The sequence below is a fragment of the Homo sapiens genome, chromosome 1 (assembly GCF_000001405.40).
Source record: "Homo sapiens chromosome 1, GRCh38.p14 Primary Assembly".
In the NCBI taxonomy this organism is placed as follows: domain Eukaryota; kingdom Metazoa; phylum Chordata; class Mammalia; order Primates; family Hominidae; genus Homo; species Homo sapiens.
In genome coordinates, this window is record NC_000001.11 from 232,468,091 (window position 1) to 232,488,520 (window position 20,430).

The 20,430-nt window shown below is 38.2% G+C and overlaps 1 protein-coding gene across 11 annotated transcripts in view, besides 3 other annotated features; it reads right to left on the bottom strand.

The window, feature by feature from the left end:
- The window catches only part of SIPA1L2 (signal induced proliferation associated 1 like 2), a 232,532-nt gene that overhangs the window by 70,126 nt on the left and 141,976 nt on the right, over positions 1 to 20,430 (bottom strand). For all 11 annotated transcript variants that reach the window (NM_001377488.1, XM_017001896.2, XM_047426142.1 and 8 more), the window contains 3 exons: positions 15,702 to 15,876; positions 11,537 to 11,640; positions 3,281 to 3,438 (listed from right to left, as the gene is read on the bottom strand). In NM_001377488.1, the coding sequence (NP_001364417.1) occupies positions 3,281 to 3,438; positions 11,537 to 11,640; positions 15,702 to 15,876 (437 nt within the window). The remainder of the gene's footprint in view (positions 1 to 3,280; positions 3,439 to 11,536; positions 11,641 to 15,701; positions 15,877 to 20,430) is intronic.
- Positions 13 to 574: an enhancer, noted in NCBI's record as "NANOG hESC enhancer chr1:232603849-232604410 (GRCh37/hg19 assembly coordinates)". NCBI's record gives its function as "activates a minimal SCP1, AML or CMV promoter by ChIP-STARR-seq in naive H9 embryonic stem cells {active_cell/tissue: H9 hESC(naive)}" and the evidence as "EXISTENCE:reporter gene assay evidence [ECO:0000049][PMID:30033119]".
- Positions 6,505 to 6,674: an enhancer, noted in NCBI's record as "experimental_6156 CRE fragment used in MPRA reporter constructs". NCBI's record gives its function as "activates a minimal promoter by MPRAs in K562 erythroleukemia cells, with activity observed for both the introgressed and non-introgressed 1:232610426 variant alleles {active_cell/tissue: K562}" and the evidence as "EXISTENCE:reporter gene assay evidence [ECO:0000049][PMID:34662402]".
- Positions 10,240 to 10,442: a silencer, noted in NCBI's record as "fragment chr1:232614076-232614278 (GRCh37/hg19 assembly coordinates)". NCBI's record gives its function as "represses an EF-1alpha promoter that drives an FKBP-Casp9 reporter gene in an ReSE screen in K562 erythroleukemia cells {active_cell/tissue: K562}" and the evidence as "EXISTENCE:reporter gene assay evidence [ECO:0000049][PMID:32094911]".

Consider the following 20,430-nt stretch of genomic DNA (forward strand, 5'->3'; position numbering starts at 1 on the left):
GAATCAATTAGAGACCCTTGGTTACAAAAGCTCATAGGATCCTTAACATTTCAAGTAGAGTCAAGTTCAGAAGAAATATTCTTTTGCCAGATTCAGATAATTCCCATTGTGTGGAAACGAGAACTTACATCAGAGCTCCTTATTTCACCCAAATAACTCGATAGCATTTATTAATGATTTAGGGGCCTTAGATATTTAAGGCCCCTCCAGCAAAAGCAAACAGAAAGATAAGCATTCCTTAATATGCACATGAAAGGGTTTTAACAAGGCCTGCTGGCCAAAGGACAATAAAGAAAGGTGTGAGGAGCAAACTGGAGTCAGGTAACTCCCGGAGTCAGGGAGTCCAGCTCTACCACCTCCTGAGTGACTGAGCTAACTACACTAATCCTTCAGTGCCTCCCTGCCCTCATCTGTAAAATGGACGGTAAAATAGTATCATACCCAAAAGCCCATTGTAAGGATGATAGAAAATAATGCATGTAAAGCTTTTATTACCCAAATTGTTGCTGTTACTGTCACTATTACTATCATAGTTGTTGTGTTAATAAATGATTTAACCCTGTCACCTAATTTTTGTCAGAAGATGTTACATATTAGATTTTCTAAAAAATGGCAGTCATCATTTTCTATAGGTATCTCTCCACTTTTAATTCACTCTTAGCTACCAAGACTTCTCTCATTCCGTTACTGAGCATTTTGCAGAGAGTTTATCTTGGAAAGTACATAAAAACATAAATCCCTGACAGCTTAACATTAGCTACAAATTAAAGAGTCTTTTATAAAGAAATAGGCAATTTGTTATGTCTGCTTTTTAAATATTTTCAGGCTGAAAGTGAGATGTTTCGTGGGGCTCTGGGGGTGTTGCCTCATTTCTCCTAGTTCCAGTGGACCCAGCATAACTGCTCGAGCATTCTGCTGCGCTCATGGGGGAGGCCTGACTCCCTCTGTAGGGTGGGAGTGTGGTCTTCTGCTCAGGCAGGTACACCTGACAGGCTGCACGATTTTCATTAGAGAAGGTGATCTCAACCGCACAGCCCCTTCTGACAGCTGTAAGGCCTATGAATTGGCATTGGTACCGTGGGTCCGCGTCAGCAAGAATACGCTGCCACTCAACACCCGAAAAAAGCTCAGGAGAAAAACAGCTTTCACGGGAGCTTGCCACTCTGGATTAGGACATAGCAAAATTTAAGAAAACTGTAGAGCTGGACTATACCATTTCCTTGGAAATTATTTTAATGAATTTATTTCTCCATTGGAATATTTAGAGGAGTATCACATGAAACAGACCAATAAGGTGTTTTTAGAAAATGTGGGCATGCCAACCTTATTTCATGAGATAGAGTAAGGACAGCTTCATAAAATGTTATGGAATTCATGTGACTACAGGATTACTCAAGATTATTATTGATTCTTCAAGAAATACTAGTGATGTTTTTAAGCAAGATCAACGAAGCTGATGAGGCACTTCCAAAAATGTTAGGCACTTGAACTGATGTTGCATTTGAATCTCATTAGTAAAGGTTAATTTAGTAATAACAATGTGGTTTCTTAAAAACCAATGACTCCATCTCTGAATGATTGGCATATGGTATCTTTATCACAGAAAAAATAAGGCAATGTACTTTGTTATATGTAAGAGATCTCTGTGGTGTTTTCAAAAACATTAATTAAATACATTCAAAACATTTAATTAGATTCAAAAACATTTATTTCTTTTAGGTTTTCTGGTTTTAATTAAACAACTCAGTTTTTTAATTAAACAGAGTTGTTTAATTAAAACCGGAAAACCTAAAAGAAATAAATTGAACAGGTATTGCCTATCTTTACAATTTTTTGTGCTAATGAATTACCTCATGATATAAGCATAAAGATAGCAAGTAATTTAAAGTACTCCATTTGACCTAAAAATAGCCACCCATAAAATAACACCAAATACAATACGATAAAGCCTTATACTTCAGTTTTCCCAATCCAATTAGGAAGGTTCATTTTATTCTTCAGAATTACCATTCGCTGGATGAGCTCCCAGGAAAAAAAGGCCAACTCACCAGGTTTGTACCAATATTATCTATTTTAAGCCTATCATTTGTATAGAGTAGATACTATATTCTTTCAAATATCACTTTTAAAAAGTAGTTCTGAGCATTTAGGCCAGTGGTCTGAAACCCAGATGTGCGTAAGAATGACTATGGAGGGAAGTATAGAGATGACAGGTGTACTGCATTAGAACACAGCACAGTAGAGCCATAGACTAGGGCTATGTTTAATAAGGCGACTGGGAAGTAAAATTCAGGGTAAGAACTGATGGTTTTCAGACTTTGTTCTAAGATGGCTTGGGCATCTGTAGGGTGGGATGTAAAATGGCAACTTCTCAAATACAGACTAATTTCTCTTGTGCCTTTAGGAAGCAAGCTCTGTAGTCTTCACTTTCTTACAAGGAATAGTCGTGTCTCTGAACTAGGCCCAGTGGGCAGCTGAATTGGCAACTACTGCTTTAAGATGATAAATGAAAATAATCTTGGATGAATGTCAGGAACTCCAATAGGTGTTTTACATAATTTAAGCTATTTATTCATCATAACAACATACTGAAGTAGGTACTATCATTACCATTATCTTCAATTTTAAGATGAGGAATCAAATGTTAAGAAAAATAAAGTAAGCCACACAAAGCCCTATGATAAGTGGTAAAGCTGGTTTCAAACTCTGGTCAAAGACCCATTGTTTTACCAATACCCCACATGATATGATCATTTGGCTGCAGTTATTCCCTAAGATTTCCTAAGACAGAGTCTGAGAGTAGTGGTTAAGTATAAAAGCAGGCCTTGTCAGAGCCAGTCTTGGGATTCCAAGGCACGCATGTGGCCTTTTGAAGTCACCCAACAAGTGTTAACCTCTTGTTTCAGCAGCCCTGCAAAGATCCAAGATCTTTGATGAAAAGAAATGTTTTACTGCCACTATACTTACTTCTCCTAGATAAGCACTTAACCAGCCACTTCATCCAACTCAGAGGAGGATACCAATTAAGCTATTGATTCTGGCTCAAGTTTTTAGGAGAAAAACAGAGGAAATGTGTAATCCACCATTTTAAAGTGCTAGGCATTTCACTTTTTCAAGGGGATAAAATGGGAAGAAGGCAATTATTTCTTACAGAAAGTGTCTGAGTAATTAGAAAATCACAAAGTTGCAAATAATAATTGGCAAACAAAGATATTTTTGGGAAAAGACGCCCTGTTGAAATAAACCTGGGAGAATGATAGATCAGGGATGACTGACTCACCTATAACACACATTTTCGGTACATGGATTATGCACTTTGACTATGACAAAGACATGCTGAAAGTGAGACCGGATGCTTTTTGGAGTAAAAGGAAGTGCCCCAGGCTCCTGGAAGACGATGGTGACGATGTCATTTCCTATGTGCCTTTTCCTCAGTAGCTGTGGTCAAGAAAGTGAAGAGTTACAAATAAGTTTTTCTTTAAAACAAAATATATATATAATTCACTCATCTTTCAATTTGAAGGAGTGATTTTTAAAAAGCACAGTCATTCTTTGGAAGTCAGTGCTCCTAAATTTGGCATAGAAAAAGCAAAATGGGCTTCATCCAAAAGACCCGTGGAAAGAAAAGCCTAAATATTTAAGTTTATCTCTTTTATTTTAAAATTCAATTTGTACTCTCTCTCCTTTTGGTCTTTATCCAGTTCCTCTTTTTAAACCCCTAAAATAATAGCATGTTAGAGCTCACAACACTTTGAGAAATGTTGTAGTTTAAGCTCTAGACGACAAAGTCCAAGAGAGGGTACAGGTTTGCTGAAAAGTCCTACACTATCACACCGGCGGGCTTCAGCTTGTATCCTGTGCTCCCACAGTAAAGTAACGTGCATTTCTGCAACAAAAATACAGAACACTGTCATTCTGGTGAGCAATAATACAAACCAATTAACTGAACCCTGGCCGTTTAAAATGCAATTCAGAAACACAGAATTCAACTGGATTAATAACCAGAAGCCCAATCATTTGTAATTTTATAAATCACAAATCTGGCAGGGGGAATGATGCTCAGAGCAGTAACACTTGACCAACGCCTTTACTTTTGATGTTCCTTCTGCCAAGAATGCCCCCTTCCCTCCAGGTTTCTCCCAGACAATGCAGTTGTCTCTGTAGATCCCATTTCATCTGAAAGAAACTTCCTATTTCCCGGGCCTATTTCTATTACACTGGTTGTTGTACTGTCTCCTAATGGTTGGTTTACTTCTTCTGCATCAGGTCATAACCTTCATGAGGGCACAGAAGTGTCATACTGACTTTCAGTTTCCTAGTTTCTAATGGTGTGCCAGGCAAAGGAGGTACCCAATACACATTTGTTTAACAAATAAATAATCCAAATATACACTTACTGACACATCACATTATGCATTAAAATTGTGACCACTTCTTTCCTATGAACACATGCCAATAAATCCACATAAAGGCACTCGGTAAGCTTATGCAAGTGAAGGCATAGATTTGTGCTCTCAAAAGTTTGTGATCTTCAGTTTTAATACATACAACAATCCTTACACAACTTGGTGATGTCATTGCTGGAATGTGACAATCTCAGATAGTAAATCTCTTTTTACTAGCAATATGAAAGACCACGACCTTACCCTTAAATTTATTTGGCACCTACAGCGCATATTCCAAGTAAAGACCATTAAGTTCAACTTTTAAAGCCTTTTAAACTCAGATACAAAAAGGATTTCATTGTCAGGTCCCTGACTTGTGATTTAGCATGATAAAAGGCCTGGAAAAGTGGGAATGAAATGTTCATTCTTTCAGAGTTTTCTACAGGCCAGTTAAACTGCTGATTCATATGCTGAGAAATTCCTACTTAAATCCCCATGGTCAAAGTTATAAACACACAAAAATCATCTTACTGTCTGAGTGAAGTCTGGAAACATACATTAGTACATCATAATACAGACCCAATGAGCCACCTCATTTAAATATGTAGTTTTTAAAAAGTTTGCTAGATATTTAAAATGTGCCATTTCAAATGCATGTAAATAATCAGTGAAAACTATCTTTGGCAAGGACATTCTTTACTCTTTTCTCCAAAAATTGAAATACATGATTCATAGGCATTGTAATGAGACAAGGAAAAATCAGGAATAGTTTTTAAAAATATGCCCATCATTGTGTTCAATGTATCTGTAGACTACAAAACACAGCAGTTCATACTCTAGTTTATTCAGTGCCCTTGAAACACAGGAATTCTCAGACTGTCAAAAGATGGAGCTCACTTTGGCCAAGGCCAGGCAGTGAGTTCAGCGCCTCCTACTTCCTGAGTGATTGCCGGTGTGGCTTCATGTTGGCCAGCCCTCTCCATTAAACACAGGGTGCAGGGAGGGCCTTGTTAGTCAGTGCTTCATGGCTGTTGAGACTGCAACAGCAAATTGCACAGTTATTCCTATCCAATTTCTTTTCCTCCTGAAGGAACATGATGGGTCTGATTCTATACTTCACCACAGGACTATTTAAAGCACAAGTTAAAGCACAAGTTAAAGTCTGGTTACCTTGACAACATGCCAAACCACTGTTGTCCCTTTCTAGACACATTCTTTTGCTTTGTAAAATGGGCCAAAAAATGTTTTCAAAAGTCTAGTTAATTTAACCATGGCCACATAATGCACTTTGTAGAAAAAAATAAACGATTGGAGGCGGGAACAAGAAGATTCATTAGGAAGGGTAAAATCTAAAGCTCTTTGAAGGAGAATATAATAAGAAAAATGAACACTATCCATTAATAGAATGCTTGAATTTGCTTCAGAGACTAAAGAAAATATCTGGAAAATTAACAGAAATATTATTCATTTTTCTGTTTTAGGACTTTGTCAAACATGAAATAAGTAATTTCTTGAACTTCTTAAAGGCAAATGTTTTCTTTAGTATTTAGTTTATGCTTTTTTCTAACTGGTCAATGAAATTCTATACAATCAGAGTCTGTGAATGGGGAAAAGGGATGGCAAACCACAAACGAACGCAGGCTGGCAAAACCTGACGGTACTATTTGTTTGAGGGAATTGTAGGAATGACATCTTCTGGGGCGAACTTCTTTCTAGGTATGTAAAGCTAATGACAATTTTCAGTGATGTCAAGAGAACCAACTTATTAGTGTCTTCAACTGCAACAGTGAGTTAATAAATATTGTATTAGATAGATTTACATAGTCATTTCTACTAAATTTCTAACACTCGATTCCAGCTGTGAAACAGGAATAAGCTCTTGTTATGACAAGGAAAGAGAAAATGTGAGTCTTCACCCAATTCCATGGCAAAAGCATATAGATGCTACAGAAATACCATATATGGCCGTAGGTTTAGCCTCAGTTCCTTAAACAAACCAGTATCTCACAAGACCAGTTTTAACTTAGTGCAAAAATACAGTAAGATAGAAGGAGTATGTTCTAATTATTCGACAGTACAGTAGGGAAACTGTCATTAGCAGCAATTTATTGTGTATTTCAAAGCAGCTGCAAAAAAATTTGAAATGTTCTCAACACAAAGATAAGTGTTTGTGGTAACAGATATGCCAATTACTCTGATGTGATCAATACACATTGTATGCAGGTATCAAAATACAGCGTGTAACCCCAAAATATGTACAACTATTATATATCAGTAAAAAAAAAAATTTTAACGAGAGGAAAAAACTCAAAAAGCAAACTGAGAAGAAAAAAGCCAGGAAGTGAAAATAAGTATCAGACAGCACACTTGGGTGAAAAATGAAAGCTGAATTAGACAGTATCTGCTAGCCTCTATGTATATGGGTTCATTTGTTAAATTATTATTTTAAACCCAGTAAGACAGAAACAAACTGTTTTGCACCCAATGCTGGGGGAAAGCAGGCTGTACAACATGAAAGAGAACAGCCGGGATATGATTCAGAAGCTCATAAGAGTCAGAGAAGAGGAAGGTCATCTGCAGGTCTCCAGAGAAGGTCTTTAGAAAGAAGCAAATCCATATTCTCTAAACGCACACAAGTTCTCAGTCCTGGTCCTTGAGTTTGAATCTAAATCCTGTTACTAAAAAGGGGGCTGACAAAGACTCCTCTGACATGACTGATCCCTTCCTACCTCTCCGACCTCATCACCTGCTCCTTACCATATAGACAGCGTCTTGTCCCTCCTACAGAACAACTGGTTCCCACCCAAGGAACTTTGCAGTTCCTAATCTCTTGCCTGGAAAGCTCCTCCCCTTCACCCAGAGGGTTGGCTTTTCCTCTTTTAGGGAGATGGCCCTAATTTTGCACTTATACATACATATGCATGTACATAAACACACATATCCCCTCATATAAACTATACTCAAGAGTTTGCACCAGTAGTTAGAATTATGCCTTGATTTTTAAGAGGCGTATAGAGTTTCCTACGGAAAAAGTTAATGTAGAAAAGCATTCTAAATAATAACTAAGGAAGGGCAACATATACACCTTACCACATAAATACAAAAGAAAGAAAAGTCTCACCCACCTCCTGCAAAAAAGTGAATGTTAGTGAACTGTTCTCATTTCTGATGGGCAAGAACAGGATATTACATTTAATTAATGTTTGAAGGATTTCTCACTGATTTATCATTTCATATAATTATGATATTTTACCAATAACAAGAGCAAATGTACAAACGAATTAAGAAATATTGAACACTTTGCAAAGGAAGAAACAAAATAATCTAAGAATGCAGATCTTTAATGACTTCATAACAAAGTAAAGATGATAACAGGATTATGAAGATATAAATGTCTCTTTCTTCTTTCTGTCACTAGGCAATACCAACCCTCACTCTAAGTAACAATCTTTGTGATATAGTATAAGTATATGCTCCTACTTAGGGTCTGGGAATAAAGCTACTCATGGAAAGCTAAGTAAGCATTTTATCCTTCCAAAATATTCTATAGTATTATGTATAGGTGAACCCAAGTATAGGCAGGACCCAAGGCTCATCGCACTTAGTGAGGTAGGTTGTTCCAGTATTTACATGAGTCCTTAGCAACACCAACTAGGGACTTAAGGAAGTACACAAACTCTTTAAGGCAGGAGCTTACAATCAGTCTATCCACTATGGAGAAAAGGGCTCCAGGCTTAGCCCAAATACAACATCATTACCTCTTTGGTGTCAAGCCCATTACTAGAGGAAGACCAGTATCCTTTAATTAGCATCTCAGAAACCTAGGGGCTTGGTCTTACTCATTAGATACCTCCACGAGGCGTCAGGTACCCCTTCCCAACACAGCAGCTAAAATGTTACGCATACATTAAAAAATAGGTTACTGTGTGCCAGGCACTGAGGCACCTCTACTTTATATGACTACTTTGAAGAAAGAATTTCGTTGCCAAAGTGAAGTTTAAAGCTAATTTGTGAAGCTCTTCCCACTGATGACATCCCACGATGGCTTAACCATGACTTGTCTCCAGGGCAAGCAGAAGGAAAGCACACAGGGGAAGACAGCCCTGGAAAAAGTGGATGGACTGCCAGACAGATGCAGAGAGACTTGCAGGACTTAACTTTTGAAGAGAGAAAATAACTCCAAGAGCAGGGTTTCTTATCATTCTTTTGGTCTGGTGAGTTTTTCTACGCAAGAGTCAGAGACCATTCCAAAGATTAAAGCTCTTTTGCAACTGTGGTAAACTCTCTGAAGACTTTTAATACATCTTGGAATTGGCATCCAGCTTGATTTATTACAAGAAGGAACACAAGAAATTAGATCTGATGTGGACGAGTCTGGACCAGTTAAATGGTCACCAACTGTAGTGTAAGAAGCCAAGGTTACAGGCACAATTCATGTAGGGGCCAGTTAACTTTGCTAAGTCCTGTGGCTTCAAATTGCACTCATGAACCCAGCTGGTCATTTCAGACATTTCTACCTTTGGTATTAACATAATTTGTGGGCATGGATGGTGAGGGTGAGAGAAATGGAGTCAATACAACTCATTAACAAATTTGGAAAACACATGTCCCCAGATTGCAAGTGGCATTATTTATCCACAAACAGAACATTCTGATGACAACCTGTGATTGCAAAATATTAAATGTCAAAAAATAATTTTCTGAAATAATTGATAAATTTAGTCTCTCACTTTCTTAACCATTCAGAGTCTTAGTTTTTCATAATAGATCTTTAGGACTGGAGACAGGAAAATAAAATGCAAATTAGGTCATCCAAAATATGACTGGCTCTATATCTAATGAATTATAAAACAGTAACAACTAAAACTTAGTTCCATGCCTGGAACTATTTTAAGTGCTTTACATGCATTAATTTGCCTAATTCTCTATCTCCTAAGAAAGGTTCACTCATTCATTCATTATTCATTCAACAAATGTTTGTTGACTTCTTACCATGTTCTGGATACTGTTCTGGGCACACAGGGACACTTCAGGGAACAAAACAGATACAAATCCCAGCTTTCTCGAGTTTGGAATGTATAGCCTCAACTTACAGGGACTTTTCTTTTACTTTCCAGTTGGGGAAGTTTAACACACACACATCCTCCTCTATCCCCCAGTTGCATCTACATTTTCACTGCTTTGCTGTCCTGATTTTTGCGCATACAATTTTTTCAAGGCTAGTTTCAGTGAAATGAAGTCAGGTACATAAAACTCGAATGCCTACAGATTTTGATTACGCTTCAATGAAAGGGGGTGGGAAAGCCAGTTTTGAGTTGTGGTAAAAGCAAAGACTTCAAATCTCTGGAGGTTGCCACATGTGAAATGCCAGGGCCAATTCAGCCTGAAGTCCAATGACTCAAGTAATCAGGGAACTGGAAAGGCTTTGTGGTTTGAATACTCGATGACGGGGGTCAAAAGTCACTGGCTCTATTTCTGCTAACGTACTGACAGATTTTCTTGGCTTGAGTAACCCCTATCAGTTTTCTGAGCAACAACTCCCACAGAGTTTAATTACTGAATGATTCACAAGTATTTGCTGGACAACTGTCCTGGTCTAAATTAAGCCTCTTAAGATCCAGTGAATCTGCTCGGCATTATTGCAAATAAATTCTTGAGAGCTAAAATCCCTTAGGTTAAAATATACATAAATACATACATGTGATCTAGTGATTTTAAGTCTATGCTTAAAAATACACAGATGTGTAATACAGAGATAGATTTTTTGAAGGTGGTAGGAAGAACTATGATTATTAGAAAACACTAGAAAATTCAGAAAGGACAAGGGATTGAGATAAGTATGAGATGGAAAATGGCAAGAAAATCCAGCTAGCAGTTACCATGAGAAGAGACTGGGGGTCAGAGGCCTGCTTTCTCATCCTAGCTGGAGGATCTGAGGCTAAGGGGCTTCTTCCAACTAGTGATGGGAGAAGGGGAGGTAGTTGGCTGGTTTCCTCTTTGGGAAAAAATGCAGAATTAGACTAAATTTATATACTTTTATGAGTCTTTTTTAAAAAGGAAAAATTCTCTGTGACAATTAAATTTCACTCATTTGACAAATACCTATTGAGCTATTCCTATGTAGTCCTTGGTGCTTTAATATATTTAGAGCAAAGGAGTATCAGTTAAGTGACATTCAGAGAACTGTCTCCTAAATGTGAAAACAAACTTTAACTCTGGATTTAACCTAAATACAATCAAATCCCTAAAATTAAATTATGTCAATGAATCAGTTATAAGATCCTAGTAATTCACAAACCTTTCTGTAAACAAATATTCAGAAACTCAAGCAGTAACATTCTTCAAAAAATCTTCAGCTTAACATGGGCAGAGCCCAGAAGATTCTAAACAAGATGTGAAATGGAGCCTTAGCTATCCCATAGATCGTCTATCCCAAACGTAGGTCCTTTCCTATCTCAAGTGATCCTCCAAGTCTTCTCAAGCTCACAGTAGACAAAGCATTTCAACTATTTCTAGCGTAAGATAAAAATGGCCATAATTTCTAGTAATCTTTGCAAAAAAAACTTGCTTGACTCAAAGTTATACCAAAAAGTAAATTATTTTACAATGATTTATGCATCATTCAAGTTTTCAAAGGTTCTTAATTCTTACTGAGTGGCTGTAGTCAAAGCATGATGCACTCTGATTTTTTTCTCTTTAAAAAGGTCAAGAAATTTTGGCCAATAAATCCATTTAAAACAACAAAAACGAAATGGAGAGGAACAGCTGAAAATAGCACCAGTAACAACTGCAAACAGTATTCTCTATAAATAAGCTATTTACCCACACACAAAAACCGAAGTCAGGTCAACACGGTTGGCCTTTTCGTAATTAACATATAGTTGAGACAAGTTTCTCCTGAGAAAAGATTTTGCTTAGCAAGCAATAGATCTGAGTGCAGAAGAGTTTCTAAGTTTTATACGAAAAAAGTGCAACAATACGCCCTTTAAAGCCCAAATACTTCCAAATGATCAAAGAGTCAAAGATGATTAATGCTATTCAAGAAAAACCCTCACTGATTCTTTGCAAGTTCTACATGCATCAATATCATCAGTGGGCCCACCTCAGATTTCATACTCAGCGTAAAAAGCTCCAGGCTGGGGAGGACATACCTGTTGTCTGTTGTTGGGCATGTAGGGAAGCAGGGTTGACACGTGGAACATGAGTTCGTAGTCTTTGTATGTGGTATAGAGAGAGTGCGTGCCCGTGGAATCAGCTGAAAACAAAGATGAATTACAGAAGCAAGGTAAGCTGCTACAAAATTAGTGCTTCGATATTTAAAAGGTTACTGTTGCAAAAACAAAAAACAAAAAACACCAAGCTCTACCCAACCAGTATCTGGATGCTGCCCATCCAGCTTTCATCAAGCACTGTTTCTACCACTCCCGCTCCAGGACTGTGGACTGAGAGGCTCCTTTCCTTCCCCACCGCTTTCTACTGCACCTTTAGTTTCCTCGCTTTTCTTCTCTGTTCTTGCCCTCACAGTGTGGATTTAGGTGATCCACTGAAAGCGAAGTGTTTTTGCCACCAAGTGCACAGGTGAGCAGTGGAGAAGAGAAGCTGGTCCAGGTCTGGGTGCAATTATCTGAAGGGCGTGACAAACTGGCAGATGGCCTGGCCGCATCTGTGTGTGTGTGTGCGTGTGTGTGTGTGTGTGTGTGTGTGTGTGTGTGTGTGTTTTTACAGTTAATTCTTAGTTATTCTTGGCACTTGATCTTCCAGAACCCAGAAAAATGAAATAGGATTGATTGAATATGGAAATGAGAACAAAAAATGTTATTTTGAATATGTCTTTCCCTGAATGTAATTAATTTTTTTCTTTCAACAGGAAGTACATTGATACATCCCATGAATGAAGAATATGGAGAATGAATGTGATCACTTACAGAATATTATCCAGTGACATATATGTTAAAAAACTATGACATTTGAACCCCTATTAATCATAAAACTGTTCATCTTTTGAAAAGGAGAATGATTCTTTGTAAATTCAAACTCCATCTGTATTATCAATAAGAGTATCTCAGATTGAGTTTCACACATTGAAACTAACCTGCTGACTATAAAATAGTTAAGTAATTTTGGAGTAAAGTTCTGAATGACTTTTTGCACATGGATAATGAAGACAAAAAGATATACAAAAAGGAAAATGTAAATGGAATTCAATTTCTTTGTCAATTCTTGATCTATACAGTCTTATTTCTCTACTTTTTAAGCAACAAGAAACAGTGTTGTTAACATCATTTATTCCATTGTGTTTGTTGGGGAAACCTCTAAGTAGTCATTTTAAGTTAATCTTTTTTTAATCTAAAAATCTAAATTTTTACTTTAAAAACACGAAAACATTCAACCTTCACGGACTTATTATATTCTTTCTGAACCCTGTAGTATGTCTTTCTAATATTCATATCCAATTCAGAAACAGACCTGAAAACTCTTTAGAAAAAATATCCTATAGAGTTCTTAGATGCTCCAAAAGACATTCATAAAAGGCATTTTCATGAATAAGGCGAATACTTAGTGTTTACATATAGTTACCAATAAATTAATTTACAGATGGAGAGAATATTCATCCAAAAAGTTATATATAAATCAGCCCCGCCAAAAAAAAATTCCTTTTAACTATTTATTAAACACATATATGTTATTTTCAAAGGACTTCTTAGAAAGTAACATTCCATTTTAATTCTCTTGGCTCGGAACCTTGACAGTGAACGTGGCTCTGGATGTGAGCAAGCACAGTTTACAGTCTCAGGGCAGGATGGATGCTCCTTCAATGAATAATGGACTCACTGATGACAAAACCAAAGGCTGGATGATGAGAAGGCCTGGTATGTTCAATGACACCCATCACAACACTGCTGTCAGGGTGGTTCAAATTCGGAAAGAGAAATGCTGACTGATATTAGGTTTCAGATTTAGGAAATTGCAAGGAAGAAAGAAAGATGCATTGCGGGGGGGAAAAGTACTTCTTAAAATGTGATAATAATATGTCTTTCTCAAGCCATACTAAAAGAGGAATTTCTAAAATTAAATATTCTGAAAGTTTTTATGTCAAACATCAGCAAGGTAATGGAGAATGTAGACTAACAAGGCTTGTTGTTCTGGGGTTTGCTATAAATATTTCTATTCAAAAAGGGATACAGGCTATCAATTTTATCATTCTCTGCACCTAGCTCAATAAAGGCTTTTCATGGCTGGGATTCTGTACTCTGCTCTAGTTAACAGAGCACCTTAGTGGCTCAAATCCCCTATGTTCCTATCCCATTTCATTTTGTGTTCAAGAGAGAAAACCCATTTCAGAGCTGAAAGGGAAATCCCAGATATTCTAGCCCAACATCCTGAACTTTCCTTGTGAGGAATCTGAGGCCCAGATTTGACCTAAGTCTTCTAACCAGAACTAAAGTCCCCCAAATTCTAGAAGGAAGATTTTTGTCTGTTCCTCGAAAGACATAATTTTTATCTGACCATTCTCCCATACCTAATTCTTACATATCTCCTCTCTACTAAAAGAATGTCAGACTTCCTTGCCATCTCACAGAATGCCTTGCTCATAAAAATAACTTACAGATTTATTATTAAAGTCAACATATCAAACTCTAGTTGTTACGTTCTCATCTCCTTGAGCTAAGGTGCTTAATACTACATCTGCAATGTATCAAGGATAAGGCCTCTGTCATCAAAATGCAAAGCCAATGTGAATTCTACATGTAGGAAAATACTTGGATTATCTACGTTGTAGTTTTACAGGTGACACAGATCAGAAATTCTTTAAATGTTTTCTCAGTCCAATTCACTGAAGAGAGACAACACACAATCACAGTAATAAGAGTTCACATCAGCAGTGGTTTTCCTGGAGGGACATCCTTAAGGACAGAATATCAGCATCTCTAGGGGGTGAATGGTTGTTTGCAGAAAAGAGGAGTTTGAAAAAAAAAAAAGAAAATCAGAAAAGGTCTCATTCGTCTTTCTTAAAATATATAGATATTCATATTTTGGGTACCATGAATTATGTCTGAGGCATGGGCATTATACATATAATGTAACAGTCAAACTCCAGCCCTGGCGTGTGTAGTGGACAACTAGGGGGCCCATGTGTGAGTTTACACCATCGCAGAGGCTTGTGAACTATCCTGTAACTGCTACTTTCAAAAACAGGTCTAAAAACAGAACTGACTATAGGCACCACCCTCATCCAGATGGAGTATCAGTGACAGTCCCAAGTTGAGCAGACTTGGGGACAGGGCTTGGTGACCAAGGAGAATAGAAGGCAGGAAGACACGGCATCAGGCCACCTCAGTTCCAATCCCAGCTCGGCCACACCCTGACGCTCCCACACAGAAAACTTCCACTTCACCATTCCTACTGGGAGTTGGGGCAAGAAGCTCCTTCAGATCCTCCAAGTTTAGACTATCTGTTCATCTCTTTTCGTTCAAAGAGCAAGCACTTAGTTGTTTGATAATAAGCAGAATTTTCCAATATGCATCAAATTACTCTGCCTGCTATTTCAGATACTCATAGCAACTAAATAACAGCACAAAGATAAAATATATAGAACTTACAGACATCATGAGAAACATGATTATCTATGTGTAGATATTAGACAAATTCATGCATCCTAGGAGGGCATAAAGCCCATGTTTTGGATTGGTCAGTCAATCCGCCACTGTACAGCTAGTAGGTGTCCCACTCAAGGGGATCTAAATAAAATCCTTGAAAAATAAGATGCATCAGCTTTTTTTTTTTTTTAATTTTAGATCCAGGGGGTACATGTGCAAGTCTGTTATAAGGGGATATTGTGTGAAGATGCATTCGCTTTTTAATCACTGTTCCACCTCCCTGGTTAACATCATGAATCTGGAAATGAACAAAATAAGCCCAATAACACAGCATGAATGGATGTGTTAATATTTTGTCTCTTAGAAATAAATGCAGTGCTTGTCCTTGGTATACTGAAACAAGGGTGTAATAGAAGAGGTTAGGGTAAAAGAAAGAAGAAAATATTAAACAATTCTTCATGAAACACTGGGGAATCTCTCTGCTGGTGTTACAAAGGAAAAAGAATTGACCCTTTGAGCTTACAAGGTGAAGCACATACCTCTTGAGAAATGTGTTTCCTTTGTTCATCTGAGGAAATCTAAACTCTATTCCAAATAAGCTTTCTAGGCTGCTTCTGGGGCCGGGAACAGGAGGGCATGTGATCACTTACTTGGATTTATGAAGCATGCCTACCTTTGGAGAATTAAAAATGTGCACACACACAAACATTAAACTTACTCTTATTGTCTAGCTGAGCTCGATATTTACTAAATCCTTTCAGTCGGACTCTCTGGCCCAGAAGATCAAGGAATTCTTCAAAAGCTGGTCCCGCCGTCTCATTGTTATACATCTCTTCCTCTGTGCTCTGGCCTGCTTTGCAATAAAGGATCCCGATCTTGTGCTGAAAGCTCAGCTGAAATGGGGGAGAAATATAATTACTTGGCAAAGCATATCAGACAAGCTAACTTCCAGTAAAATTAAAACTACAGAAGCTGAGAATTGTTCTAGGAAAGCATGCCAGAACAATTCCCATAAGTGAATAAGCAAAAGAGTAGGCAACTGCCACTGTGAAAGATGCTACAAATAATAACCCAGAAACCCCAGAATACAGCTGGAGACATGTCAGAAACCCTAACAAATTAAATGTATGGCTGTGGCCATTTGGGATTTGCCAGGTTTCCAAAAAGGATAGGAAGTCAAGGTTCAAGTATCTACTTAAAAATAGAACTGTGGAAATACTTCATCTTACACACTTCATATAGTAATTAGGGTAATCTTCTAAGTCGGAAAGAAAAAAAGGCTACAAACCTTTAAGTTTTTCTCTGTAGTAATACCTTTTATTTCTTTATCTGAATTTTATATATTTCTTGTAAATATGTAAGACTATAAGGAAAAAACAAATCAAATTAAGGTCTGGTAAGGGTAGGATTCCAATGGAAATTATGATATATGTATACAAACATTAAAATGTTTTGTTGCCATAAAAAAGTAACTCTGGCTTACGATTACATTCATTTGTTACATTTTTTACTATCTTGAAAACATCTGCTAAATATACAGTGTACCACAAAGAATCCAATAGCAATTGAGGAGCTCCTGCTGTAATCCTATCTTACAGTCAATGCCAGGTTCATGTTGGAAGCCATGGGACTTCCTCCCAAGGCCAGTAAGAAACTGGAGGCATTTTCACACCTTTCTTATGTCCCCCAAAGAGGAACTGCTTCTAACTCATGCAATCAGAGCTCTTAATCTTACTACCAGCAATCTGAGCCTGAAAGGCTGACAGATTATCAGACATCGCCAATTCTCTAAAGACATCAATCCACAACACTGTTCACTTTTATTATCAAGCTGTAAAACAGAACCTTTAATCAAAATTCATAGCTATCTTAGTAAAATAAGGCAAAATGATACTCATTTCCCTTGAGCAGCAAAGTGATGACAGCAGTCTCATCCATATTATTACCTAATGACAACATACTATGCAAGAAAGGCATGCAACGTCTGCCTGGGTGACCTCAGCAGACATCAGGAAACATTTACCACATGCTGGATAAACTTAGAGTTGAGCAGGTAGAGTCAACTACCCATATATTCTGAATGCATTCCGATCTTGACTAAGTGCTATGAGAAGGCTATAAAAGGAAATATCACCTGTTTACAATCTGACTGAATCAGCTACCTATACCGATGGATGCTATGGCATTGCAGTTCATGGGCCTTGGGACCCTGTCAAGGCCAGGAGATCCCCAACTGCATAGCGAGAAAAATGATCTGTACCTTGAGTGTGGGGATATGAGATGGTGTGCATACACTACTCAATACCTAACATTATGAATTTATTGAGCTACTACTTTAGTAGGGTCAAGAAGAAAAATTTGTATTCACCCAGAGATTGAGGAATCAATGTTTCTGATCAACTCAATTATCTAAGTCAATGAGATACCACATTTACTGAGAATAGACAATCATCTTCAAAAAAATATTAAGTACAATAAAAATGCCTAACCTCATTTTATTGTAAACATTATTTGCTCCTGAGTGACTCAGAAGACATTTCAGGGTCTTAAAGTGCATTAGAGAAACTATTATGATCACCAATTATTACACAGATGTTCGTGACATCTGTGATTGTTGGAATCTATATGAATACTAAAATGTGGCCTGAAAATGACCACTTCCCATCATGGACAACGATGTTAGTTGACTTCTCTTTCACTGTGAGAAGAGGATTTCAGCTCCCTGGTTATTTGGCCCTGGCTGTAATTAGAGTCCACCGTTAATACCGAAGAATACTAACTCACTCCAGTGCCTGTGCATCTCAGTGTCCACTGCTTCCTCTGCACCCAGTAGAATTGCTGCACCATCATCCTCATCCTCGGAGGTCACTCTGCTCTGGTGGCTGCTGTCCCTGTTCGCCCATCCTCTATTCCTTTACCTCCTGCTCACCTGAGACCATTGCCAGTGCCATGTGCCACATCATCTGAAGGCCATCTTTGTCTCCATTGCCCCAGCACGCAAAGGCAGCTTGCCTCAGTCTGCTCTGGCATCTGCAAGAGGAAACCCCTTCCTCTCCTCCCATCCAGCTCTTAAATGAGGAGTCCTGGAGTAGAGCTGTTTGGGAGCCGAGGGTGTGCATGGTATGTCAAGCAGAGCCGTCACCAGCCTGGCTCACTTCCTCTCTGACTCGGAGAGCCTTGTGGGCTTGCTATTTCTTGTGAACTCTCATTCAGGCAAAGGCCAAACAACTGGACAACTGAAATTTCATGAGACCTCATTGCTGACTGTTGTACTGTCAACTTCACACCCCTCTCTTCCCAGCCATCGGACACACCAGCCTGTGTCTAGATCCTAACAGGATCTAGAACAGGATTTGCATTTCCATCTAAGAAGCTCCTGGGCCCATGGGAATCAGTGGATGTGACTAAAGCAGATTTCAAGGCCCTCAGATGTCTTAGGACAGCTGCCATACTCTGGCTCCAAAGAAAACACCTTGCTACACACATGGAGTGACACAAGTTTACCACTCACAGGTATTTGCCAGTCATGCCTACTTTTGATCAGTTTGCCAGGTGAAACTTAGGAGACAGAAATCTCTCCAGTGACTCAGAGTAAAGAATTGTGGCTTGTTTACAACAAGGGCTGATTCCAGTAAAACAAGAATGAAATGAATAATGAAACAGAATGAAATGTTCAGTAAAGATATCTCTCTCACCAGAGTCTCTTTCAGAAACCTGGAAAACAACTGAAATGTGGTATCAACTAAATACTCCCGGGGTATATCAGAAGGCTAGCAACATACTTCTTCAGCTCCATCATAATATAAAGTAAAGGAGGGACTCCAGATTCCATACACTTAACATTCCTCATTCTCTCAGACCAAGGCTTCATTAAATCTCAAGCTAAGCCTAACATTTAAGTCTATTGCAGCAACCTTTATTTAACTGTTTGATAAGAGCTGTGCCAGTCCCACAGTCCTGGGATAGAACTAGGCTTGCATTTGGACATAAGCACTGCTGCAAACTAAAAATATCCACTTGTCAAAATTCCCTATGGCTTCAGTGCTGACAGCTGGACACACATACATACTGCCCAGACAGCAGAGGATCCAACCCACGTCCCATTTTCTTTCTGAGACAGGATAAAAACTGGCTGCTCTATTTCCAAGGCCAGAAGCTTTGTTATTATTGACAAGAAAATTTACATTCAAATGAAGGTGAGAAGAAAACAAAGCCTCAGAATTGTCTCGAGCATATCTTTGAGTGTGCAATAAATCCCTTCCCCTCCATTCTCCTGACTCAGACTACTTGTTCTAAGCATGTAATCTCATTTATTTAGACCTGCTTGACTTCGGTTGAAACAAATCTGATATTTGAGTAAACATATATATCTGGGGTGAGAGGACAAGAGGGGAATGGGGCAGTTGGCCTTAAGAACCAATGAATAACTCTGTTAAGGATTTCATAATATTCTAAGATAGTGAGCTGTCATAATTCGTCTAAATAACACTTTGTTTACAGTCATCCTCTATAATTTTATGAGTTTACCTATTAAATACATTGGGATAGCCTTTTTAAAAAGGAAAAATGGGATTTTAGAACTGCAGACGTGAAATTATGTAGATAAAGTAGCAAAACGTCTTGTTTAATAATTACTTTCCTGAAAATTCTCCACAGTGTTTGACTCTTCCTTCTCAAAACATCTAACCAAACTGAAGGAACAGAAGGAATGATCTAAACACCCACAGTATCTCCTACTTCTGAAAAGTGTCTTGTACAGAGTACATATACTCAGTGGTTACATGACAAACCAGGATGGACTGCAAACTACAAAAGAGCGGAAACTAACAATATATGTAATTAGGTTACACACACACACACACACACACACACACACACACACGCACACATATTTTTTTGAGACAGAGTCTCACTCTGTCGCCCAGGCTGGAGTGCAGTGGTGCGATCTTGGCTCACTGCAACCTCTGCCTCCCGGTTCAAGTGATTCTCCTGCCTCAGCCTCCCTAGTAGCTGAGATTACAGGTGCCCACCATCACACCTGGCTAATTTTTGTATACTTAGTAGAGATGGGTTTTCACCATGCTGGCCAGGCTGGTCTTGAACTCTTGACCTCAAATGATCCACCCACCTTGGCCTTCCAAAGTGCTGAGATTACAGGCATGAGCTACCGCGCCCAGCCCATTATTAGGTTGTATTTTAAATATAATTTCAAGATTAACAAACCCTTAGACCAATAACAAAATTGCCCCATCCCTTCCTGGGAAGATTTACTATTAGGAAAATGAATAAAGAAACAGCACCGCTTGGAATAAACTCTCCACCACCCTAACAGGTTAGTGGCGATTTGTAAGGATTCTTTGGAAACTGGGATGTTAAAAAAGTTGCCCAATCTCTTTTAAAGATGAACATAAACAGTATGTTTTCCTCATGTACAATGGGAATCTGAT